The 27,290-nt window shown below is 37.2% G+C and overlaps 1 protein-coding gene and 1 long non-coding RNA gene across 3 annotated transcripts in view, besides 1 other annotated feature; one reads left to right on the top strand and one right to left on the bottom strand.

The window, feature by feature from the left end:
- The window catches only part of PREX2 (phosphatidylinositol-3,4,5-trisphosphate dependent Rac exchange factor 2), a 284,987-nt gene that overhangs the window by 31,232 nt on the left and 226,465 nt on the right, over window positions 1-27,290 (bottom strand). For both annotated transcript variants that reach the window (NM_024870.4, XM_047422267.1), the window contains exons 36-37: window positions 14,013-14,079; window positions 13,276-13,466 (exon numbers count right to left, since the gene is read on the bottom strand). In NM_024870.4, coding sequence (NP_079146.2) covers window positions 13,276-13,466; window positions 14,013-14,079 — 258 coding nt within the window. The remainder of the gene's footprint in view (window positions 1-13,275; window positions 13,467-14,012; window positions 14,080-27,290) is intronic.
- Window positions 2,185-3,753, top strand: LOC124901957 (uncharacterized). The gene is made up of 3 exons (XR_007060955.1): window positions 2,185-2,516; window positions 2,866-3,031; window positions 3,359-3,753. It is a non-coding gene; the product is annotated as an uncharacterized LOC124901957 (long non-coding RNA).
- Window positions 3,100-3,708: an enhancer, noted in NCBI's record as "H3K27ac hESC enhancer chr8:69114328-69114936 (GRCh37/hg19 assembly coordinates)". NCBI's record gives its function as "activates a minimal SCP1, AML or CMV promoter by ChIP-STARR-seq in naive H9 embryonic stem cells {active_cell/tissue: H9 hESC(naive)}" and the evidence as "EXISTENCE:reporter gene assay evidence [ECO:0000049][PMID:30033119]".

Raw genomic sequence — 27,290 nt, 5'->3', positions numbered from 1 at the left:
TTCTGCATAAAATGCACCGTTCTGTGTAAAGTGTGTTCATTCCTGTAATGATCACATTTATTCTGGCTTCTAATTACTTTTACAGAGCACGACTGTGAAAAGTCTATTGACAGCTAGAATGAAGCACCTGATTGAAGAAACTAATTCTCTAAGGTTTTGCAGTTATATTTTCCCTGATCCCTTTCATTACCTTCCATGGAGGAAGAATTGTACATCTGAGGACTAATGCAGTCTGTTAAATAGTGATCAATCCCCACGTTGCTGGTACGGTTCTACATAGGCAGAGACTGCAAAATAAATACGGAAAAGCCTGCAGCTGACCTATTGACTTTCCCACCTTATTCACCCTGAGCAAGGCTTTGGTGACAAGCGAAAGTCTTGAGAAAATTGCTACAAGTCAGTGAGAATGTGAAAAACCCAAACACTTAAGTTATTATTTTCCTGTAGGACAGAAGCAGCTTTTAAATGAAACACATAAATACTTTTATGTGGAGAAAAAAAGGACAAACAGACTATTTGTTTCAGCAACAAGTTCTCTTATCTAAATTATTAAATATTGATACTCTCTTTTTAGGAAACTTTGAATGACAGGCTAACAACTGCAATTCAAAAGCCAGTAGTTACTCAGGCAAGTTTTTAGTATAATTTATAGAAATAACCTCCCAATATTTATTGATACTTTCAATATGATTGATCATTTGACTCTTGTTAAAAGGACAGCCCTGGTGAAATCTTCCTATGACCATACTGGGTTTCTATGAGTCATAGCCCGAGAGCTGGAAGACAAGGGTTTCCGAGTAGCTTAAAAGAAAGCAGAGGGGGCCGGGCGTGGTGGCTCATGCCTGTAATCCCAGCACTTTGGGAGGCCGAGGCGGGCGGATCACGAGGTCAGGAGATCGAGACCATCCTGGCTAACACGGTGAAACCCCGTCTCTACTAAAAATACAAAAAATTAGCCGGGTGTGGTGGCAGGCGCCTGTAGTCCCAGCTACTCGGGAGGCTGAGGCAGAATGGTGTAAACCCGGGAGACGGAGCTTGCAGTGAGCCGAGATCACGCCATTGCACTCTAGCCTGGGCAACAGAGCTAGACTGTGTCTCAAAAAAAAAAAAAAAAAAAAAAAAGAAAGAAGAAAGAAAAAAGAAAAGAAAGCAGAGGGAAAGCAGGCAGAAAGTAGCCCTGTGGAAAACAACTGAACAGAATGCAGCAGAGATGGGTAACAGCTGGGTAAGATCTGATCCTGGCCGCAGACAGAGAACTTGATTGAATACTCCACTCACTCCATCTATCTTAGGGCAAAAAAGCAATCGAATTGAAGGGATGCATTTTCAGCGCTGCACAGGGAATTAGCCATGAAATTCTCATTAAAGATAATGGGACTTTCTGTTACCACTTTCAGTACATTCTCTGAAAGTTCTCAGCATTTATCTTTAAACTAAGCTTAAAAATCAACTGCCAAGCAAAAACATTCCACATCCCTCGTTACTTTCTATGCAAGCCCAGTAAGGTATGTTTTTCTTTGACACAGTTTCATTGTGGAGGTTAGCATAGAGGTGATTAGGGACCTTCTGGGGTTGGGTAATGAGCATTTAGGCACTTGGAGAAGTATTTGCCATGCCAGGAATGTATATGACTATGAAACAGCAGTGTGTTAGGACCTTAAATACTGCAGCCACCAGGTTTGAATCTGCTTCTCCACATTTTAGATTCTTCAGCCTGGATTTAACTCACCAATTTATTTCATTTCTATTTTGGTGGGTGGGGCGGGGGGAATTTAACTGAATAGGTTGGGTACCTATCCCAGCTACCCGAAGTTCCTTAACATTCTTATTCGTTCTCTAGATCTCAAATTTGACTTTTGTCCTTACTCCTCATAGGTTCTCTGATGACATAAATACTTTAAAGAGATGTCTAGTATGTGGTTTTCATCCATATCTCTAGTTCTTTGACACTGGACCATCATTGTTTTCTCTTTGGCCTGTTTATCTGAGACACTGAACAGAACTTTGTGCATTTGACACCTTTGAGTGGATCCTTCTGTTTTACCCTGAGGCTCCTCATCAGGGTGCACAGAGGACGGGGATGTGAGGCACCAGGGAATATTAATACTCTATATGTGCTGCCTGGGGATCTTTCTTCTTTTCTCAACTTCTATAGTTGGCAGCTGATTATTCTTTTCTCACATTTCCATGCCTGCTCCTGGAATACCTGCTCCTAAAACCCAAAGTGTGTTCCCTAAAAATTCTTAGTAATGTTTTAAACCCAGCTCAAATATATCTCTGTAAAGCCTTCTCTGCCATGATCCCCCTTTCTCTCTCTGTACTAATCACCTCCACATTTGTTTTTCCATAGCCTCCTGATGGCTGTCCTTGTCAACTGTGAACCCATCAAAGGACATCTAAAATTCAACATGGGACAGTGTAACAGATTAATTCAACACCCTCTCCACAATCCCCTCAAAGATGAATGCATATTTTCTTCCTGTAGCAGCCCTCCATCCTGATTTATTTCCAAGCTGGTGAGTCAGAATCATCGATACTCCTCTGTGATGGTTGACTCAGGGTGTCAATTTGGCTGGATTCAGAGATACCCAGACAGCTGGTAAAGCACTAATTCTTTTCAGTGCTTCAGTAGGCACTGAGCCCGTTCTGCTGAGAGGGAAAACCATGTAGTGTGGCATTTGATTAGAATGATTGAGCTGTCCCAGGGGTGTCTGTGAGGGTGTTTCTGAAGGAGACTGGCATATGGGTCCATGGACTGAGTGGGGAAGATTCACCCTCAATGTGAGTGGGCACTGTGCTGTTGGCTGGGGACCCACGTGGAACAAAAAGGAAGAGGAAGGGTAAATTTTATGCTTTATCTCCAAGGAGTGTGACCGGTAGTTGGACCAGGAGTTTCACAGCATTGGCTTCCTTGGTTCTCAGACCTTCTGACTTGCACTGAGCCACACTACTGGCTTCCCTGGTTCTCCAGCTTGCAGACACCCTACCTGGGACTTCTCAGCCTCCACAGTGCAGTGAACCAAATCCCCTAGTAAGTCCCTTCTTCGTCTCTCTGTCTCTCTCTGTCCTATCAGTTCTGTCCCTTGGCAGAACTGTGACTGAACATTCTACCTCTCCCCTATTCTTTATTTCTCACCAATCACCAAGTCCTGTTGACTGCCATTTAATACCTTTCACAACTAGCCTTTCCCTTCTAACCTCTGTGCCAGTGCTTCGGTGCTAGGTCTCATCTTCTCTTGCTGTAATACTGTAAAATCCTGCTGTCTCCCTGCCTCCGTCCTTGTCCCATTACAGACCATGATAGTAATCTTTATTTTTGTTGATATTTTAAAAAATATCTAATCATGTTATTCTTTAGCTGAAAACCCTTCATTGGCTTCCTAAGTCCTCCAGGAGAGAGTCACAAATCCTTCACCCAGCAGCCAGAGCCTTCCACTCTCCAATCCTGTCCAGTCGCTACCCTTTCCTCTCAGCGCTGCTTCGCTCTCACTTGACCACCCAGCAAGAGCACAGGATTTCCTGTGTCCTCCAGCCATGTAATTACTTCTCCACTTTCATTGCCTGGTGAGGGCTGGTTATGCTTTAAAAATATGTGCTACCTGGCTGGGGGCAGTGGCTCACCCCTGTAATCCCAGCACTTTGGGAGGCCGAGGTGGGTGGATCACGAGTTCAGGAGTTCAAGACCCGTCTGGCCACGATGGTGAAACCCTGTCTCTACGAAAAATACAAAAAATAGGCAGGGTGGTGGGCGCCTGTAATCCCAGCTACTCGGGAGGCTGAGGAAGAGAACTGCTTGAACCCAGGAGGTGGAGGTTGCAGTGAGCTGAGATCGTGCCACTGCACTTCAGCCTGGGTGACAGAGCGAGACTCCATCTCAAAAAAAAAAAAAAAAAAAAAAAATAGGTGTTACCTTACTCCCTTCCTGGGTATTTAAATCTCACCCCTCTATACTCTTCCTGAATATGTTAGAAGACCTGGTGCCAGTTTACGATCAACATCACAAAGGCAGGAATGCTGCTTCCTTCCTTCAGCCCTATGATGGTTAATACTGAATGTCAACTTGATTGGACTGAAGGATGCAAAGTATTATTCCTGGGTGTGTTTGTGAGGGTGTTGCCAAAAGAGATTAACATTTGAGTCAGTGGACTGGGAAAGGCAGATCTACCCTCAATATGGGTGGGCCCCATCCAATCAGCTGCCAGCACAGCCAGAATAAATAAAAGCAGGCAGAAGAACGTGGAGAGATTAGACTGGCTTAGCCTCCCAGACTACATCTTTCTCTCATGCTGGATGCTTCCTACCTTCAAACATTGGACTCCAAGTTCTTCAGCTTTGGGACTTGAACTGGCTTCCTTGCTCCTCAGCTTGCAGACGGCCTATTGTGGGACCTCACCTAGTCGTGTGAGTCAATACTCCTTAATAAACTCCCCTTTATATATACATCTACCCTATTAGTTCTGTCCCTCTAGAGAACCCTAATACAAACACCCTCCATACTACCTGCTCTCCTGCTCTCTTAACATGCAAAAAAAAGAGAATCATTTACATCGGTGAGATACTCATATTTCTTCCCTCCTCTGGAAGATGGAAAATTTATCTTACGTCACTTATTAGAGTAGTTAAAAAACCCCTAACCACAGAGATCTCAGTAATATATTCCAGAAAATGACTGGAATTTTTATTTATAATATAATTTGGTAGACTTAGAAAAGACAATAACTTCAGTTTATTTGAAACAAATACAAAGAACTATGCTCTGTTTAATCGTTTTTAAAGTAGATACTGTATTTATCCCTATATCTATGCAAATAAAATGTAGTAATGTAAATACATTTTATTAATATGCTCAAATAGTAAAATTAGGTTTGGCAGATACAGATGAAATATAACTAATATTTATGTATTCATATGTTTGACATATTAGGACCTAGGTTTTTCCTATTCTAATAATGAAAGGCAGTCACATCCTCTCCTTTTATATGCACCAAAAGCAAGGCCTGTTTGGCCAATATCACCTGATTCCTAGATGTCAGAACTAGAAAACACTGCAGTAAGATGTCACCCTTTCATATACTGATTTATTAATCCTTGCTCACCATACATCTAATTTTAAGAAAATTATGTACATTTTAAAATAAAATGATTCAAGATACTAATTTATTAGGGTACATATTAATCAAGCAAAAAAAAAAGAGACAATGATATCACATGCAAATATGACCACCTTTTTAAGGATAAAGAACTTTTATTACAGATAATGGAAAAAAGTAATACAATGAAACCTTTTCATATTTACAATATTTGATTTCTTCCTATAATTTTAACAATTTACCTGTATTATTTATCTAGTTGACTAAATTAGAATAAATTTTAATGTTTATTTGCCTATTTTACAATTCAGTAAAATTTCAAATTCTGTACTTATTTATAATGAAGGGAACATCTGAGAGTAATTAAGATTTATCTTTATGAAAAGATAGTGGTACCAATTTATCATGAGTAGGATATATTTTGTCTTTCTGCCAGGCCCCTGTTATTGTAGTATTTTCTTTTTTCCATTCCAAAGGGAAATTAAAGCATATATTTTATAACTTCTTTTGGGGACTATATAATATCCTTGGGTCATAAGCTAGAAAAAATATTTCTTCTGATCTATTTAGCCATCTCTCTAGTGATATAAAATTCAGGTGTCTCCTCTAATCTTGTTACTGGGTCTTTCAAAACTTTTTTGCACAAAAAGTAAATAAATACATTTGAAAGCTTTATTGGCTTATTGAAGTTATTTTTTCTGTCCCATACATAGAATCTAACCTACATATAGAAATCCCCAGAGTAAACCTATTCCTTTTACTTAATACGTCTTCATTGTGCAGTAGAGAAAAGATGCAGCTTCATCGTCTGCCCTATGGGAACTCTTTGATTACCTAAGACAGGTTACCTTGAATGCTCTACTTTAAAAAGATTCTGCATTACCTAATCTGGGCCTATTTGTCAATTTGTCCTTTGATGTCAGGGTAATGACAGAGTAAAGTATTACAAAGAAAGAGTCCTTTAAAAGTTCCAACAAAAGTGGGTTTTTAAATTGTTAATTGGTAGTTACCTGAATAAGATTTTTTACATTGCTTATATGAAGTGAGAGTCATTATACTGTTCATCTTCATTTGAAATAAAAACTGTTCCATTAACCATATTGGTAATACAAATTTCTTGTTAGTTGTTTTTATATTTTCCCTTATAAATTTCACTTTTTTAACAAAGGCTTATAATCATATTTTAGGTCCTGTGTTCTAGTTAGAAGACAGTTTACATTAGTTTCTGTTAGTGGGAGAAGGCTCGGTAGAGCCTTGGTAATTCAACCCCAGTCTGCAGCATTGTTAAATGTGAAAATATACCCAGCATTGTTAAATGTGAATTTCCAAATCATCAACTAATAAGTGCATTTTGGGGAAAAAACTTTACATATGTTAAAGCTAACTTCTACTACATATTCAAGTAGCTGACACTGGATTACATGGACAGTAGCTAGCTTGATGGTCATCACTATTATGTGTTTTACCAATGGTAATGGGCTGGTCTTGCCAGACTTTCTCTCACACCTGTGTGGGGCTCTGCACACAGGATATTTATGATGCCACCTGGAACTGGGTGCTGGTGAACCCCCCCATGCCAATGCAGCAAGGCCTTCTTGATGGTGCCACTAACAACCCCCACCAGATGATGGACCACAGGGTATGCTAGTTAAAAATCCAGGACCCTGTTTCCTGGAATAGATTCACCCTCGTAACAAAGCACGAACATAAAAGGTAACTCATATATACAGATCTCCAGTGTTTTGATTTGAAGACATCACACACTATTCAGAGCATGAGGCCTGCACTCAAGTCACCCACCTTCCCACATGGCCAGACCAAGACTCTGACACCACTGATAACCTATTATTTAAAAATATAGAGTGAAGAGAATATGAAGACAAAAACTCTCTGGAACAAGTCATTACAGGGGAAAACTGTGATTCCAGATTTCTCACCTTCACTAGAAATTTCTTACACATATCCTTTATTCTTTCAGGTAGACTCTGCAAATTTCTACTCACTTGTTCCTACTGGCTAAGGAGGCCGAAATTAATGTGGAGGGAGGAAAATGGCATTTTTGTTTTTGGACTCAGTCAGACTCATGCTTCGGGCTTTATAACGTTTGCTGTATACTGATTTATATTGGTTAAAGAAAAACAGTCAGCTATTAAGCAAGGTGGGAATAAAGAACCAAAACAAATTAAAACACCACATTGAATGGAAGGATGCTGCAATAAGAAATAAAAGAAATTTAGAAATCCCGGTAGCAAGCTTTTTGATTGCCTGCCACAATAACTGGCATGGGTACAAAAGCAAATTTGAAAAGCCACAGTGCTGACTCAATATCTTAAAAAGATTCAATTTGGCAAAAAGTAACTCTGCCTACAAAGCAGGTATATAAATATAAATAGCACAAGTCTTAGTAGAGAAACAAATTCAAAAGATATTAAATACTTTTATTTGTTCATCAAAAAAGGACAAATTAAAGAACAAAGGAAATATAATTGTAAACCTAGTAAAGAAGTACAATATATAAATGGATTCTAATACCTTCTGCAGACATGGCAAGGGTGAAAGTGCCTCACAACTATCTATTCCACTGGTGTACTGTACATAAGGACAACTCTTTTGGGAACTTGAACAATATATTAACCAAGAAGGTTTAAACTCTTTGACACAGTGATTTTATCTAAGCGTTTGGCTTTTTTCTTTTAGATTAATGGAAAATAAAACTGAAATTTGAACAGTAACATATAGAAAGATGCCGCTCTGTAGTTTCTTATATACAATTGAGAAAGAAGATAAATCACCAAACTAATAGTTCAGTTAACTGTGGTATAAAACTGGTTGACATATTATGCAGCAAAAAAAAGAGAATAAGAAAGTCTATGTGCTCATTTTATATGTATATATGTAGCATATATATAGCATATATATAATATAGCATATATATAGCATATATATAATATAGCATATATATATAGCATATATATTATGTATATATAGCATAGATTATATATATATTGTATATATATAATCTGCCACAAGTATAAGGCAGATTATTAAACTATATGCTCTGGTCCAAATGTGTCCTTCCAAATACATACATTGAAACTTGACCACCAATGTGGTAATATTAAGAGATGGGGCCTTTAGGAGGTTGTATTAGTCCCTTCTCACACTGCTATGAGGAAATACCTGAGACTGGGTGATTTATAAAAGACAGAGGTTTAATTGACTCACAGTTCCACATTGCTGGGGAGGGCTTAGAAAACTTACAATCATGGCAGGAGGCAAAAGAGAAGCAGGCACCTTTTGCATAGGGAAGCAGAACAAAGTCAGTGCAAGCAGGGGAAATGCCAGATACTTATAAAAGCATCAGATCTCATGAGAACTCACTCACTATCATGAGAACAGCATGGGGGAAACTGCCCCCATGATCCAATTACCTCCACCTGGTCCTGCCCTTGACATGTGGGGTTTATGGGGATTATAATTTGAGGTGAGATTTGGGTGGGGACTCAGAGCCAAACCGTATCAGAGGTGATTTAGTCATGAGAGTGGGGGTCTTGTGAATGGATTAACACCCTTATAAAATAGGTTTGGGGAGCTCTTCCCTCCCTTTTGCTCTTCTGTAATGTGAGAATATAGGGTTCAAGGTACTATCTTGGAAGCAGAAACCAGGACTCTCACCAGACACCGAATCTGCCAGTACTTTGATCTTGAACTTCCCTATCTCCAGAACTATGAGAAAATACATTTCTGCTCTTTATAAATTACTCAGTGTGTTAGTCCGTTCTTGCACTGCTATAAAGAAATACCTGAGACTAGGTAATTTATAAAGAAAAGAGCTTTAATTGGCACATGGTTCTGTAGGCTGCATGGGAAACGTGGTTTCTGCCTCTGGGGAGGCCTCAGGAAACTTACAATCATGGTGGAAGGTGAAGGGGAAGCAGGCGCCTCTTACACGGCTGGAGCAGGAGGAAGAGAGAGTTGGGGGGGGGAGGTGCCATACATCTTTAAAGAAGCAGATCTCATGAAAACTGGGGATGGTGCTAAATCATTCATGGAGGATCCACCCCCACGATCCAATCACCTCCCACCAGGCCCCACCTTCAACATTGCGGTTTACATTTCAACATGAGATTTGGGTGGGGACATAGATCCAAACCCTATCACTCAGTATCACATATTTTCTTAAAGCAGCACAAGTAAACGAAGACACTATATATATGTACATATATATATATGTACATATATATAGTGTCTCCATTTTATTAAATATATAAAAAAATATATAATTCATATATATAATATATAAAGCTATGTTCAGATGTGTGTTGTTGATAGAAGTTACTAGAGATAATGCAAAATGAAAATGAAAAAGGATGTCAGAATAGAATGTTTTTCTATATATTTAACTACCTTTTAATCGTATTTATACGATTAAAAAGCAAAAATTAAATTATATTATATTAATTAAAAGGCAAAAATCTGATCAACTCAAAAGAGTCCAGCCTACTCCTCTGCCACTATTTAATAGCAATGATGACATTAAACTTAAGCGAAGTTGAACAGAGTACAGACAAGGAAGTCCCTCAGGAGACTTGTCATTCACACAAAAGAGTACTCCAGAAAAGATAATTTACTAAAAACAAAACCAGGCTAAATGCTTTGGGAAGATTTTAATAATTCATCCTGAATTCTATTCCTACTAATCTCATATTCACTGTTGTATGTAGCTCTGCCATCTGATTCAGATTGGCATTAAAACATCTAGACATTAATGTTAATTAAATCTGCCTTTTCGTTCCAAAAAGCCACATTCTTCCCTTTAATATCAAACACATACAATATAATTCAATAGTTTTAAAAAACATTTTAGATCCTATTTCTGTCCAGTGAAATCAGAAAAGGCAGGAAATTGACTATCTAATGTAGATACCACATTGTTGACTTTTTTCATCTTGATTTTAAAAGTAAATGATAAAAATGGCTTGTGTAATATTTATTCTGATTCATGCTGTGAATTTCTCCCCTCTGTCAGAACCTGAGGGTAAACCTCCGTGTTTAATGTTGCTTGCAGGTGTGGATCTGGCTTGGGTTCCTCTCTAGCTGTCTAAATTAGAATTACTAAAGGACTATTTTAGGAACAGCCTTCTGTGGGGTTTTGGATCCTAATATAAATTAACACATATCTTATCATCATGAAAAATCTAAGCATAGCCTTCACTGAAAAATTAAAGAGTATTTTACATTCCCCATTTTATTCTGCATAATGGAAAAATAAAACTATACAATTTTCAAATAGTTTTGACCTTAAATTCAGCCCGTTATGGGGCATTGGTGTCTACAGCTTGGTAAATGTCTCGTGAAGTGAATTAACTAAAGCTATATTTATTTTGAATTGTAGAAATCAAGAAAGTTAAAGTATTTTAAAATGTCAATGTCCCTTGTAATTCTAACACACTAATCAATGCATATAGTAAGTAATAGCTGTGGAACATCAAACTATTTCTCTTATACAATACCAGTCTAATTCTAAAATTGCTCGTGAAACATCTGAGAGAATAATTTGGACAACTTAGTCATGGTCTCTAGGGTTAAATGGCAGATTTAACTGAATTACCTTTCAGTAAATTAATGTGGAGTTAAGAGTAGGTGCTTATAGTTTCAAAGTCTGAAGGACCCCCTTGGTTCCAGTGTATCCAGACCTCTGATAACTATGATCTTGTACCAGGGTAAGAGAAGAGCACAAATACTCAAGGCAATGATGCTTTGTTGAGGCCACAATGGACTCCTTGTTGTTGCTTGAACACACTGGGCACTTTCCCACTTGAGGACACTCAAGCTGCTGGTCCCTATGGTCTCAAAGCTCTTTCTCTGAGATATCTGCATGACCCACTCCTTCATATTTTTTTTTTTTTTGAGACACAGTCTCGCTCTGTTGCCCAGGCTGGAGTGCAGTGACATGATCTCCGCTCACTGCGACCTCCGCCTCCCAGATTCAAGCGATTCTCCTGCCTCAGCCTCCCGAGTAGCTGGGACTACAGGCATTTGCCACCATGCCCGGCTAATTTTTGTATTTTTTTTTTTTTTTAGTAGAGATGAGGTTTCACCATGTTGATGAGTTTGCTCTCGAACTCCTGACCTCCTCAAGTGATCCACCCACCTGAGCTTCCGGAAGTGCCAGGATTATAGGCATGAGCCACTGCGCCCGGCCACTCCTTCATTTTATACCAGTATCTTATGAAATCCCCCATCACAAATCTCCCCATCTGATTCAGGTTGGCATTAAAATATCTAGATATTAATGCTAATTCAATCTGCCTATCTTTTCTCTACCCTATCTTCCTTTATTCCTTTGAATTCTGTTCTTTTTTGGATTTATTCCACTTGCCACATTACATATTTATTTGTTTACTTTATCAACCGTTTCCCCCCAATGCAGTACGTACTATATGAAAGTAGGGACTTTATTTTCTCAATGCTGTATCCCCAGCAACTAGAACAGTGCTGGCACATGATTGGTGCTCAATGCATATTTATTGAATGAATGAATAATGAATGAATGAATAGGAACAGACCATATGAACATAAGCTTATCAGAAGGAAGATATTATTTCTTTGCTAGCAAAAAAACTTTCAAAGCTTTGATCCACTCAGATACAGATGATATTTTCAATTAAGCTTTTAATAAGCTTGCAATAGAGAGCAAAGTACACAGCAATGAAAATTAAAGTGAAAAATTCTGCATATTTTGCCAACCACAAAAAATTAATGTTCTTTTAAGAGAAATACTCTTGCCATTTTTCATAAGCACATTCATGCTGCATAGGGCCTGAAAACTAGAATGTGGCCATCTCAAGGCAAAATGGAGTTTCCCAGATGGAGAGGCTGCTGCCTTCAATGACCTTTCTTTCTTTTCTGCCTCTATAACCTGATCCATGAAAACCCAATTCAAACATAACTTCCTCCATGAAGAGTTCCCATATCTAACCATCTCAAAATCTATTCTCCCTCTGAATCCTACTCTTTAGCTGTAACTTTCCTAGACCATTTATGTCTTCTTGTTCTTGAGTTGTGTGGGTTGTATGTGTGTGTACTTTTATCATTATGTTATTTTTGTTAATATTTTTGAAATTTTTTTTGCTTGCTCTTCATCCTTTATGTCTCTGACATGAACACTTTATGATATTACACAGCCAACAGCACTGACTGCAATCCTTTGCATGGATTCAGTGCCAAGTAAATTTGAATAAATAAGTAAACACCATCCTCAAAATCAAACCGACCTAATGTAGGTGACGGGTTGATGGGTGCAGCAAACCACCATGGCACATGTATACCTATGTAACAAAACTGCATGTTCTGTGCATGTACCCCAGAACTTAAAGTATGATAAAAATAAATAAATAGAAGAAGAGGCTGTCTCATGACAGACTAGCTCCCTACTTAGGTTAAAACAAGGACTAAAATTCTCTTCTATTATTTCCATTTACTTGATTCTATTTCCTTGTGGCAATGGAGAGGCGAAAGCATATGATTATGAAGAGGGACTTGACTCAGGGATTCCCACTCGCACTTTTGAGTCTAAGTCTGATGTATCTACAGGAATTTTTATGCCTGTCATCTTGGCTGCCTCAGACAGACCACAGTTGCCTAAGATAAACCACCTGAAAAGAACCCATCAAATATTTCCCCTTACATTTTCTGGAATAGCACATTGTGTGAGCTCCTGGACCATAATTTCACCAGTAGTTAGAAAGCAGTTGCAACTCCAAGCAGCATCTAGCTCACAACACTTGGGTTGTAAGGATTGGAACCACTGAATAGTGGAATGTCTATCAAAGGCAGTGAGAAAACCAGTTTTGTTGAGCTAGTTGAGTCAGCTCCTACTAATTTCTCTAGTGAATAAAATGAATGCACATTTTTCCTAAAATGTAAGTATGTTAATATAAATGCAACTATGATAAGATTTTGGGCCACAATGATATAAACGTGGGATTGCCTTCATGTGTATGACTAAATAGTCACTGAAAATACAAGAATTAAAACCAGAAAACGTCCAAAATCTTATTCCAAATACACCTGAGTCTTTGAATGTTTCCAGTTTTAATTTTGTGAAGCCAAAATGTAAACAAAAACCATCAAATAAAGTGTGATCTAACAAAGAGGCAAGCAAGGCGGGAGGGTCACATACCGATGCACACCGCTGCTGCACATGATGATGTGGCAGGCGCCCAGCCTGTTGCACAGCTCCGAGGAAACTGACAGCAGTCCAACCCCAGAAGCACTGCAAGCTGTGTTTGCACAGGCAGCTGTGCGCTTGGATCTGATAAACGAGGCTACCAGTCGGTAAAGTTCATCCAAAGCGTTGAGAGGCCTCATTAGCTGCAGAAAAAAAGTGATGAACGTCAAGTTCAACATGTTTAGTAAAATTCTTTTAGATAGGTTGGTATAGCTGTTAAAGAATAGTCTAAAATTTTATTTCATTTTGGTGGTAATGGAATTAGAGACTACTAATATTTATAATTACTCATATGTCTCTGACATGAACACTTTATGATATTATACAGCCAATAGCACTAACTGCAATCCTTTGCATGGATTCAGTGCCAAGTAAATTTGAATAAATAAGTAAACACCATCCTCAAAATCAAACTGACCTAATGTAGGTGATGGGTTGATGGGTGCAGCAAACCACCATGGCACATGTATACCTATGTAACAAAACTGCATGTTCTGTGCATGTACCCCAGAACTTAAAGTATGATAAAAATAAATAAATGAATAAAGAAGAGACTGTCTCATGACAGACTAGCTCCCTACTTAGATTAAAACTACTTAGATTAATTTTTCTGCAGAACAACAGCAGAAAATTAAAAAGGGAGATATTTAAATTAAAAAGCACCAATAAATATAATCATCTGTTTTTACCTTATCTACATAGGCAGCTTTGGATGTGGAGTTTGGTGGTGAATTTGACTTGTCCAAGTAGAATGCCCTGTAAGAATCCAAGAAATAAATTATCATTTGTTGTTAGGAAAAGACATAATATGCATGAAGATGTTCAAGAATCACTGACTTTTTTTTAAAAACAAGTGAATAAACAAAAGCATTGAACATTAGAAGGTTGGGGTTGCACAAATGTCAAAAGGTTTCCATTTTAAAAAGATGGATAAAATTACCACCGGGTCTATTAGAAACTGTGTGGTCTTGGAGAAATCACTTGTCTATGCTTAGTTTTCTCATTTATAATTTGAGGAAAGCATTAGCTTCTACTTCATAAGACTGCCAAGATTAAATGAGTTAATGCAGATAAAATATGTAGAACAGTGCACAGCACAGAATAAGTGCTTATTAATATTTATAATGATCAATATTATTAAAAAGTTGAAGAAATACATTTTTGTGACTATTGAAGAACGTTATCCAATTTTCATTTATTGTGAGAAAGATTATGGAACGAAGGCTCATAAAAACCTAACTTTAAACAACACTGAGGCGATTCTTTCCAGCACCAAGTTATGCTCCGATTAGAAGTGAAACTCTCTCTAAGGGTTCAATGGCTCTTTTTTATTACCAGGATACAATATGGTAATGACTATTTCAACACACAAAGTGGAATCCTAGTGGCCTAATACACTTTGTGCAAAAAACAAAGGACACACTGCAAAGGATATGATCTCATTCTATTTTATGGCTGTATAGTATTTCATGCCATTTTGTGTATTAAAATAGCCATTTTAATATGCAAAGTGGAATCCTAGTGGCCTGCAATAATTACAGCAATTTCCAAATAATTATCGCTGTGTTTGCTTTGCTTGTGGCTCGATACTAAACAGAAATTTTAAGGGAATCATCTATGGAGATAAAATAGTTACATTTTATTTGATCTAGTATCTATTTTTTTTAGTGATGGTAAAATGTATACAGTATAATACAAAATTTAGCATTTTAACCATTCTTTTAATTTATTTTAGATTCAGAGGGTATACATACATGTTTTTTACATGGATATATTACATAATGGTGGGATTTGGGCTTCTACTGTACCCATCACTCAAATAGTGACCATTGTACCCAATAGGTAAGTTTTCAACCCTCATCCCCTTCCTACCTCTCCACAAGTGGGAAGAGGTGGGAAGGGGGTTGTGAAAAGTGTGTATTGCTTTTCAACCCTCAGTATCTATTGCTTCTATCTCTGTGTAAGTGGGAACATATGGTATTAAATTTTCTGTTTCTGAGTTATTTCACTTAGGATAATGCCTCCAGCTCCATCCATGTTGCTACAAGGCACATAATCTCATTGTTTTTTACAGCTGCATATTATGCCGTTTTGAGCATTCTCAAGCATACAGTTCAATGGCATTAAATACATTCAAATTCACCATCTAGTATCTATTTTTGATGAGGTGACAAACTTCACATTTCTAGAATGTGACATTTTAATGTCGGTGGAACAAAATAAGTCCCATGATATTAGAGTGAGTTGTCATATTAGATATTCAAATAAAAGCTGATTATATTGTTGTTTCAGAGCATCTGTAGGACTTCAAAGTGTTGGTAAATTATTATCAAATTCACAGTATAATTGGGCAAAATCAGTGAGCGACAACGCTATACCCTGTGTGGGATTTTTGAGTCCCACTGAACATATGTGTTCACACCCACACACAGTGATATTCCCATTACTAGCAATAGTGTTTTGTCTTTTTAAAATAAAGTAACATGGATTATTCAAGCTTTACACTTTAAATTATGAATGCTTTAGCTCTAAAGACTAATTTCCAAAATGACAATTATGCTCATCTTTATTGAGAAGCAGTTCCTTCTTGTCTAAAATACATATTGAATCCTCCTCAAAAAGTTTTGTAAACAACTCAGCATCCAAGATTGGCTGTTACTCATTATAACTCTCTTTGCATTCCTAAGAGATTTCCAGGTACCATCTGCAGTTCCCTCAGCCTAAGCACATAACACTGATGGGAGTGTGGGGGCTACAGCAACCCCAGGCAGCAACCCACCAGACTGGGTCATGGTGACATGAGCCACTGCAAAGTGGAACATCCATCAAGTGCCATGAAATACAGTTCTAACTAGCTGAGTGAATTAGTGTCTATAAAAGCACTAGATCAAGAGCAAAATAAAAGACTGAGGGATTATTTCCATGATGAAAATCAAAGGTCTCATTTGAGACATCATTTTAAAATTTTCAAGATTTTCCCCAGTATCTGAAAGAGATATAATCTGAGAGGAGTGCTGTCATCATAAAAGGAAATGAGCTTGAATTGTGTGAGGAACATGCAATGGGGCAGGAGCTGGGGCAGAGTGAAAGAGCAAGTTAGGCCAGAGAGGTAGACCCCAGGACCTTACAGGCCCTGATAAGGTTTTACCCTAAGCAAGTTGGGAGCCACAGAGGTAAATGGCCATGGAACTTGCCTCATTGCCAGAAGACTGGACGTTTTAAATATTATTGCTATGTCCAACAATTCATGTTCTACTGAAAGGTCTGTGTGTCCTTTCACGTCAATTGTACAGGTACTTATGTAGGATTAAACTGTGAAAACCCACTTATGCACCATGCTTTAACAAGTCTGAGCATTTTGTTCTTTTGCTTCACCTTTTAAATAAATAAAATATTACAAATACAGTGGAAGCCTCCTGTTCACCTATTCTTATTTCATTTCTGCCACTAAAATGTAAACTCCCCACTAGAATGCAAATCCTCTAGTAGCTAAGGATTTTATTTATTTTTATTCATTTCTGCATCTCTAGCACCTGTAATAGTATGTGGAACATAGTATGATCTTAATAAATATTTGTAAATAAATAATAACTTGACATTTTTGTTTCTTTATGGATGGCTGATATGGTTTGGCTGTGTCCCCATCCAAGTCTCACTGAATTGTTATAATCCTCACGTGTCAAGGGTGGGGCCAGATGGAGATAATTGAATCATGGGGGTTGTTTCCCCCATACTGTTCTCCTGGTAGTGAGCAAGTCTCACAAGATCTGATGGTTTTGTATATGAGAGTTCCCCTGCACAAGCTCTCTTGCCTGCCTCCATGTAAGATGTGACCTTGCTCCTCATTTGCCTTCAGCCATGATTGTGAGGCCTCCCCAGCCACGTGGAACTATGAGTCCATTAAACCTTTTTCCTTTATAAATTACCCAGTCTCAAGTATGTCTTTATTAGCAACATGAGAACAGACTAATACAATGGCATTCCTTTGGGCATCCAAAATAGACTTTGCAAGCCTGTTTCGATCTATTAAATCTTCTGGGGAAAATTCATTTTAATGGTCCATTTTGTTGGCTGTCTTTCTTACTGCTAGGTTTCCTCATGTGCTTTGGAATTATGTTTTGTAAGTTCATTTGAAGTGGGATGGTTTTTAAATTATTTTTATTTAGTTTTTTTGATATAGCTCCATCCTCTCTCTCTCTCATCATCCTCTTAAAAATGGTTTTGTGCCCAGGATCACACATTTGTAAGCAGTTGCATATCTGATCTATGACATTGTTTTGACATCTGGATTATCACCAGTCATGTCCCCAAACTAGTGAGTGATTTGGTTGAGTTTGGTTCAGTAGTTCAGGGCCATGCCTAAAACAACTTCCTCTTCCCATCTTAAACACCAAGCATCACAAAAGCTAGTCTCAAGCAACAGTGATCAGCAGATTTTTCATACTTTCATATTTCATTCAGAAGTGGAGTCCTCTACTACCTGGTTTCAAATGGTGAGGCTAGCTCTGGATTTCCACCTAGTGTACAATAACATTCATGTCCTATTGCTCTGCAAACGCTGTCCCAGCCCCCTCTGTCCACCTCCAGAGTCCAGCAGGCCAGAGGCCTCAGTGTAGCCCACAACTCATCACTTGCATTTCATCTCCATTCTTGGGCCACAGAGATAACAAACTGTTTTTGAGCCCAGCTGTGATTTTTGCATTTCCTATCCTCATATTTTATCTAGCATTTGTTACATGCTTGGAACAGAGGCGGCATCTCAAAGCTGGAACGCACAGAAGTACCTCGATCAGATGTCTTCATGCCTTTTCTCAAGTAAACTTGGTAGAAAAAGCAATGTGGTAAAAAATAGTATACAAGTCACAGTCAAATTATTTAGCCTGTCATAGGGTCAGTTTTCTTATTTTCAAAATGGATATTAGAATTGCCTGACATAGCATGATGTTGAAGATTAAATTAATGCATATGAAATGATCATTAGTGTGATAAGCATATAGGACTCATTCAATAGACAATAATAACTATAACTCAAGTACACACAGTGGGAAGCATCATTGGACAATTTTTAGCCATGATAAGGCATAATATTAAGGCCAAAGCCTTCCTGCTTTCCGTGGAGGTAATCTAAAATATTTTATGACACATGTTAAGAAATAAAAATTAAGTAGATATTTGGAATCTATGTAATTTCATGATCAGTGTGCAAGTAGAATTTAGGCCTAAAAAGAAAAGAATGTTTTTCAGGGTAAAGGAAAGAAGACTGTCATTTAAACGGCTTAACTAGGTGCAGCTCTTCTAAACCTTGAATTATCTGGGAAGAAAACTATTCTGTAAAAGCAGCCCATAGCTCATCAGTACCACCTAAGGGAAGCATTGCTACAGAAACAGCTGGTTGCATGGAGCACTCTGTTCTTTCTGAAAAAGATGTTCCTTAAAAAAAAAAAAAAGTTGTCATTGATTCAGCCAGTTAAGAGCTGTTTAGATCATGTTGATCTGATTCTGCGACATTCACTTAAATTGACTTGATACAAGTCTTCAACTATTCAATGGTGCGAATGTTTAAAGGAAAAAAATAAGTTACAGAAATAACTTTTAAAGGTCTAAAATGTAGCCCACATCAAGTGAAACTTTATTTAGCAACAATCTGCCTTTTTAAAACTGCTATAGGCTGGGCACGGTGGCTCACACCTGTAATCCCAGCACTTTGGGAGGCTGAGGTGGGTGGATCACGAGGTCAGGAGTTTGAAACCAACCTGACCAACATGGTGAAACCCTGTCTCTACTAAAAATACGAAAATTAGCTAGGCGTGGTGGCGAGTGCCTGTAATCCCAGCTACTCAGGAGGCTGAGGCAGGAGAATTGCTTGAACCCAGGAGGCAGAGGTTGCAGTGAGCTGAGATCACACCATTGCACTCCAGCCTGGGCAACAGAGCAAGACTCCATCTAAAAAAACAAAACAAAACAAAAAAACCCTGCTATATAGCAGAACTAAGATAGAAAAACATCCAGTGTTTCTTAAGCTTTTTTTACACATTTTTTAAAACATTTAAAATACTCTTAAAAGACAAACGTTTACTGAAAATTTAGAATTAGATATATTGGCTCATCCAGACTTGTGCTAGCAGTTAAGATTTGTTAATCCATGGTAATGGAAAGCAATAAAATATTATAAAGCATATCTATGCATGGATGAAGTCCAGAGAAATAACCAGAAAATAAAGCCACTTTGATACTCCTATGTAATATAAATAGCCAATAATTTTTTAATTCAATTATTTTTTAAAATAAGAATTTATACTTGAGGCTACAACTAATTTCAGGTATTTCTCATCAGAAAAAATTGTTCAGATATTTTACCAATCATAATGTTTACAGGTATCTGAAGAACTTCAGTATCTTTCAGAATTTGACAAACTGTGGACAGGACATAAATATCCAAAGCACTTTCCTTAATTAAAAAAGTCTTGCAATGCTCCTTAATCAAATTTTATGGGAAAAGTTAATGGCAAAATTTGATGAATGCCAAAACTAACCATATTTTATTATGCTTCTGAGGTTAGTAAGAATGACATCATGGTCCTTTGTCTGAGTATAGAAAATCTTATTAAGACATTTTGAAAGTATGGCTACTATTTTATATGGGCTGCAGAGTATGTTTCCTTTCATGCTGGCATACAGCAGGCCTCACTGTCATAACTTCGTCAGTTAACTCTGCCATGTAAAATAAATATATTATGACACTATTTCTTTCATTTAGTCCCTATAGGATAAAATACCAATGAGAGAGGTGGTAAAATGTAAGTTATAGTAAGCAGTGGTATAAATATATCCAGTCAAAAAACTACAATGAAAGAAATCTTGGCATTTATTGCATACCATCTAATCAAGAAGACAAATACACAGGTATTTATAATGCAAGACAGGGAAGTGATAGGTGAAATTAAAGGTATAAAGAGTCATTGGGTCTACAGAAGGAAGGCCACATAAGAATATGGCATAGGAGTTAGACTTTGACGCATGGGTAGAATTCTGACAGGTCAAACTGGGAAAGCTGTATTTCAAGTGGAAGCAATGCCCTAAACAACAGAGCAGGTACAGAATGAGTGGAGCCAATGTGACTGAAGACTGGGTTCATGTAAGGTAGAGAGAGAGAGAAGGCTGGCTAAGTAGGCTGAATCCACATTATAAGGAAATTAAATATCAAACCAAAGATTTGTAATTAACTTGGTAAGCAGTGAAGAAGCACTACAAAATTAACACTTAGCTATCAGCAGAAAAAGGAAAAACAAAAGGATGAACGAGAGGAAATACATGACTCATCAAATATGAAAATTGAGAGAACTGAATGCTGCGAGAGACCCTAAAAAGGAAAGAATCATTCAGCATTCAAAACAAGACTGTGGTAATATAAATAGGGAACTGATGTTTGCCGTGAGACAGAGTAAAGGAGTCTGAGGAACGCTGAGATTGGTTTAGACAGTTATGTAAGTTAACATACTAATTTAAGAATCAGGAAAGTGCTTTATCAAATGGGTAAGTAATGAGAATCCTAGCTCAATAGGGTTAAGCTGGTGCTCCAGGGATGCTCACTTTTTCACACAAGGAAAGATAATGCAATTGCCTTATTTAAAATATTTAAACCAATTTATTTTGTCATAGGAAATATACAGAGGTTAAATCAGTGACAAAAATGGCATTCTTCTCATCTGGCAAACTTTTTCCCCCCGTTTCTTGGCATGATGGAGGATATCCAATTCTTAAGAGAGATGATTAAGGCCTAAGAGCCTCGTGCTTTGTAAATAAGAAGGAACTATACTATTCAGCCCAGATTTCTGCTATACTCTTGCTTCTTCTCCAGACCATTGCTTATGAGATATTCTCCATATTTATAATCATTTACAGAAAGTTCTCACTTGGTCAGACAGATATATACTTCTCCTGATATTGCTTCCTATCCCAAAATATTCTAAACGGTATTAGGTTGCTTTTATGCATTTTACAAGTATTTTGGATTTGATCAAGTGTTCTGCATTTCAGAAAAGAATGGTAACAGTGTTTAATCAATTACAGATATCATTTATAGACATGATTAGATATGTCATTATAATGGTACAGCAGTTGACTACAGGTGTGACTGGGTATCTCTATGAGTTTCACTGTTAAACTGAACTTTACTACTACAGCACCTAAATTAGGAAAATATAAATCTATAAAAAATTCTCATGAAGAGACACTGATCTCTTGTATAAATGAAAATCACCAGACAGGTTCAACCTGCGGCCACATGTGGTTAAAGAATACACGACGATGAGTGGAAAGGTGGGAGAATATTAATTTGCACCTCTATCCCACCTACCTTCCCCATGCCCATAAGCATCAGCATTGACTTCTCTGGTATGCATTTTACTTAAAGTTACGTGAAGAGAAATTCTGAATAATGAGATAATCTTCTATTTGCCTGGATGTCTTTTGGCCTGACAAAAATGGAGCACCTAGGGTCACAGTTGTCATTGAACTGCCTATTACCAATTAACAGCTTCATTTCTACTTGAGTGTTTAAAAAACCTGCTAGAATATTAACAAGACAAGACAATAAATGTGACTATAGAAAGTAAGACTTTACCATATTTTTTAAAAAAGCATTTCCCTGACTTCTTTTATCCCCTGAAAATGTAATGATGTTGTGAGAGGTAGTGGAGACACACCTCTCTACTCTTCACTGCTGTCAATACTCTCACTCTTCTCCTTTTTGAGAAGCCTCCATTAGTGACCTGACTAGGTTGAAATCCTATTCTCTGCTTTCCAAATGCTCCGTCACTCCACTTTGATTTTTGCTCTCTTTTTTATGATTCTGCTAAGGTGACATTCCTTCTCCTGCTCCTGCGATATGTACATATCACTGTGGATGCCACCTACTGTTAAAATACTGCATATACACATATTTTCGAATGGCAACACAATGTCCTGCCATTAGGGAATATTATCTCCATGGAAATGGACAGGAAAAGAAGCAAATCCTTTCAAAACATCTCATTATACCTAGGAAAAACATTAAAGGCAAGTCATATACAAAAACATTAAAGTCAAGCCAATTATTTCAAAATAATTCTATTTCATTTGATAATTGTGTTTCAAGATAATTCTGCATTTTCATACCAAAGAATAACTTTTTAGGTTCAAAATAATAAAATTCTTACAATGACACTATGAATAGCAAGTTCATGGGTTGGATCTTTTTCCACCATGTCCTTTCTCTGTATACCCTATTTAACTCCAATCTATCTCTAAAAATACCTTTGTAAAGCATAAATACAATCATTTCATTACCTTGCTTTAATATCATTTAAATTTCTCCGGTGCCAAAAGCCTCACATTTTAGCCAAGCATTCAAGGGCCTTCCTAATTATTTGCCAACAAACTTCCCATTCCATCTCTCAACACCGTGCCTTGCCATGTCCTTACTTGATCTCCCCCAACACACCATCCACATGCAAGTTTTCCCACCTTTTTGCATATGGTTCTCTCCTGCCTGGAATTCCCTCTCACCTCCTTCTGCTTGGCAAAACTCTACTGATTCTTCAAAACTTAGCTCAAATGTGACATCTTGAGAACTTCTCCACTGAAACAAATTTATCCAGCTCTATTATACTGAGTTGCACTCATCCTGTTCCTTGTGCTAAATTATGCACTCTCAGTGGGCAGAGACCCATTTTTTAAATTTGCAATCCCATAATGCAAGGCAATGAGTGCCTGAAACATGGCATGTACCTAATACTTCTTAATGTAGTATTGAACTGAATCGAACTTTATTTCATGAGAGCTAGAAAGGGTTGAAGTTACTATACTTACACTATGAAACTATATATATACATAAAATCTAACAGAGGAAAATGTATTACAGAGTTTAATTTTAAAGACAGATTAAATCATTATGTACATTTTTAAGAGGATTCTTTATATGCAGGAGGAATTACTCTTAAGCTTATAAATATTAGCTACAACTCCATTAACATTGAAACATAATACTTAAAGGAAAGTATTTAACAATCATCAGAACTTAAAATTAGAGAGTGAGTATGCTTACCAATCTCTCCTTCAGTGAGAGACAACTATAGTCAAGAGAAAAATATTCTCAGGGTCTCCCTTGCAAGTCACACAATAAGTGTGATGACAATAGCACCGTTTTACCTATAAATTACTCTAGCAAGAAATGACACAGCAAAATTCTTGTTCAGTTCTAAGAAAAGACTAAACATGGTTGCATGCTATTATACTGAGATTTTAAGTGCTTAACTCTTAGCTTATATACTTTTGCACTAGAATCAATAAGAGGCTGAGCTTTCCTTTATTTGGCAAAATTCAAGATCCTTAAGTACAGTAAGTCACTCAACATTGCTTATTATTATTATTCATTCTTCCAGACTCATCTTCCACATCACCTCCTCACTCAAACTTTGCCTGTATCTTTCAAGTCAGTAGTTTTTCCCTATACCCCAGCACCTGGCACATCCCTTAACTTCAGTATCTGCTGCTTCAGTATCTGCTGTGACGTAAGGATTTGTTGACATTTTTATTTCCCCACTAAACCATAAGTACCTTGAAAACAGAGACAATGTACAGTTTCTCTTTTATCCCAACACACAGCACCAGGTACACAGTGAGTGGTCAACATATTTTGGTTGAATAAATAAATGTATAATTAATTTCCAAAATTTATTGATGAATAATAGCTCCAAACAATTTCCAAGGACAATGTATCTTCTTTCAAGTAAGATTTCATATCAAAAAATACTGAAAATTATCCATCATGGATGGTAGCTGTTGCTCAAGAAAAAAACCTGCCAAGCATAATAAATTTTCTCCATCACAAAACATACATCCCTTTTCACTATTTATCTTATAAATTGTAGTTATAATAGGAAAAAGATAGCTGACTGAGAAAGACAAACCAGGTCTCTACCCTATTTTAAACTTCCAAAGTGCTTAATTCAAATCAACTGAAGCAGTATGGAATTGTCACCATCTTCTAAGATATTAAGGCAGACAATTCAGGAATGAGTCTCATCTTATAAATAGCTGTAGACATCTGCTACAGAGGGAAGGCCAGGAAAAATGGAATATGGCTAGAATTATAGATATACAGACATTAGAAAGATGTCACTAGCAGTATTTAGAGACATTGTGAATACCGTAAGAGAAATATATCAAATAATTGAAGCTTCCTTTTGATACCCGTTTGGTAACTTCACTCCTCAGATGAACAGACCGATCAAAGGTGAATCTTAAGGAAATAGCTGGAATTGAACATACTCTGCATGAGGACATGGACTTTGTCATGTTTATCGCCTTAAGCTCAATACCTAGGCAACTAACCGACAGAGAGCAGTTGCTCAGTAAATATTGTTAATGAATCAAAAGTAAATAATTTAAAGACAAAATGAAAATTAATAATGAATAACAAGGGACAATCTCATGCAATATTGAATCTTCCCTGCAAAGAAATGTAAGCTTGACCAAGTTCATTCTAGTGAAGAAATAAATATTCATTCACTCCCTGCCCCTTCTAGACATAGTCCAATAACTCCTCTCCTTTTCCATTCAAATTTCTCCTGAAGAAGTCCAATCTGCTAATCCCACTTCCAAATCTTCAACCCACTCTCCTCAGCGGACTGTCATCCTACGAGAACCATTCCCTCTAAGGACGCCAATGACTGCATTGGTCCAATCCAGTGGATACTTTCTAGATATCAAGTCCTGAATCTCTTCTTAAATGTAGCACCCACTCCTTCAAATTCTCTATTCCCTTGCCCTTTTGACTTTGCCCTGGCACCTTGTTGGTGCTCACCTACTTTCCCTGCTTTACCTACTCTGTGTCCTCTTCACTGCCTATCCCATAAGCATCTGTTTTCTTAGGTTCTGCTTGCCTCACTATTCACACTTTGAAACTTTTCCCAGGCCATCTTGTTTTCCTCTTAGGGACCCAAATCTGTAAACTCATAACTCTGAACTCCAGATTTGTGTATTCACTTATTTGTTCATAAACAAATAATTCATAAATCAGGCAGCACCAAGTGCTAGGGATAAAAAGGTAAAAATAAGACAATATTCATCTGTAAAGAACCAATGGTGTGGTTTAGAAAAGAGGAAAATAAAGATATAATTATAATCCAGTGCAGTGAGTGATCTACAAAGGTTTAGCAGAGTGCTGGAAAAACACACTAGGACAAGGATGTATTAGAGAGGCAAAGTGAATGAAGAGTCTTTAAGACATAAGGAGAATCTTAAGGGTGAGAAAAGGAATGTCCCATTTTGATCATAGAATTTAAGTCTGGAAAGGTATTTAATTCCCTGAAAAGAGGGGGAGGTATGAACAATAGAAATAGCAGTTGGGAGATTACTCAGCAGATATGAATAGTAATTGAATGAAGGAAACAATTGATGAAAGAAGAAAACAGAGGAGGAGAAAATAGACAAAAGGTGGGAAGAGGAGAAATAGAGACAATCTTATTTATCATTGATTCTGCCAGCAGTGAGGAGGTAAATGATATGAGACTTAAGAGATTTTTTTTCACTTGTTCTTATTGTTGATAAACTATGTAAAATCTGTCTAACCTTCCTGAAACCCTGTGGCATTCAACAATAGAAACATGAGAATAACAAAAAATACTAATCACACATTATGAATTCTGGACATAAGGATGTGTTCTTAATACTTTCAGTCAATTATTTCAACAAATATATTTTGAGCATCTATTAAGGTACAAAGCAATATTCTGTAGAGCAGCAGACAAGAGACAAAGCTCCTTCCTGCAGGAAATATGCATCTAGTACTCAGGAGTCAGGGGCGTGTCCTTCTTTGCCTGGCAAGTGTTGGATGAACCCAACTTGTGCAGCCTTTCCTTTATGGGAAAACAGAAACTGCTAACACTGGCTCTTTCTGAACCTGCTTTTCTACTATAGGGTGACCCCTTCCCCAGTGTTGTTTTCAATGACATTTTTTCACCTGGGCGTAAAGCAAACTTGCTCTCCCTCTTTCAGAATCTGCTCTCAGCTCAATTTCCAATTTCCTTCCCTGTTTAAAGAACACACACAGATATATAATAGGCCAAAGCTACATCTCTCAGCAGCTTTAAAAAAAAAATCCCAACCTATGTCCCCTAGCTCATTGTCACTCAAAATACAGCTTGCAGCCTTCAGTAAAGAAATTGTAAGTGAGAATTTAGAAATTAGATTTCTAAAAAAGTCTAAAATTGAATTTAAAAACTAGATTTGGTCAATGCAAACTGTGTAACAATTTATACTGCCCTGACACACAAACATTCAAAAGCCTTTGTCTTATTCACCAGAGGAGAGACTAGAGCAACAAGTCACATGCGGTTGCACCATCATCATGCACAGTAGGGCCACATCACAAGAAGTAATGTTTGTTAATTATAAACCAAAAGTGTATAAAAACTGAAAAAAAACTTAAGTAGCCATCTTTATTTAAAATCTGTCATCTCTGCAATATTTTAATTTTTAATCAGACTTTTAAAAATGATAGTTTAACATTATTAACTAAATTAGAGAAATAAAATTGATGTTTTTATATGTAATTTATTGATTGCAATACAACTTCACTGGGATTTTATGGAGAAATTGCTTTGAAATCTCTTCCTTCCTTACTGTAAGCATATCTCTATGAGATTTGTTTTCTTCTACCAAGAGCGTTATTAAAGCAAACACAAAAGTTTAAATGTCAACTTTTCCCTGTAAACTATGTTGTCATTCCAACCTGGATTAGATATATTACCAAGCAAGAAACTAGCTATTAGTTTCTCATATTAAAAACTTTAAATATTGGCATATGCAGTGTTTATTAAAATACATGGAAAGAGCTTCCACACAGCAAAAGAAATGATCATCAGAGCAGACAACCTGCAGAATGGAAGAAAAATTTTGCAATCTATCCAACTGCCAAAGGTCTA

The sequence above is a fragment of the Homo sapiens genome, chromosome 8, assembly GCF_000001405.40.
Source record: "Homo sapiens chromosome 8, GRCh38.p14 Primary Assembly".
NCBI classification, from domain to species: domain Eukaryota; kingdom Metazoa; phylum Chordata; class Mammalia; order Primates; family Hominidae; genus Homo; species Homo sapiens.
Note: the sequence above shows the minus strand (reverse complement) of the source record. Positions and strands in the feature narration are given on the sequence as shown.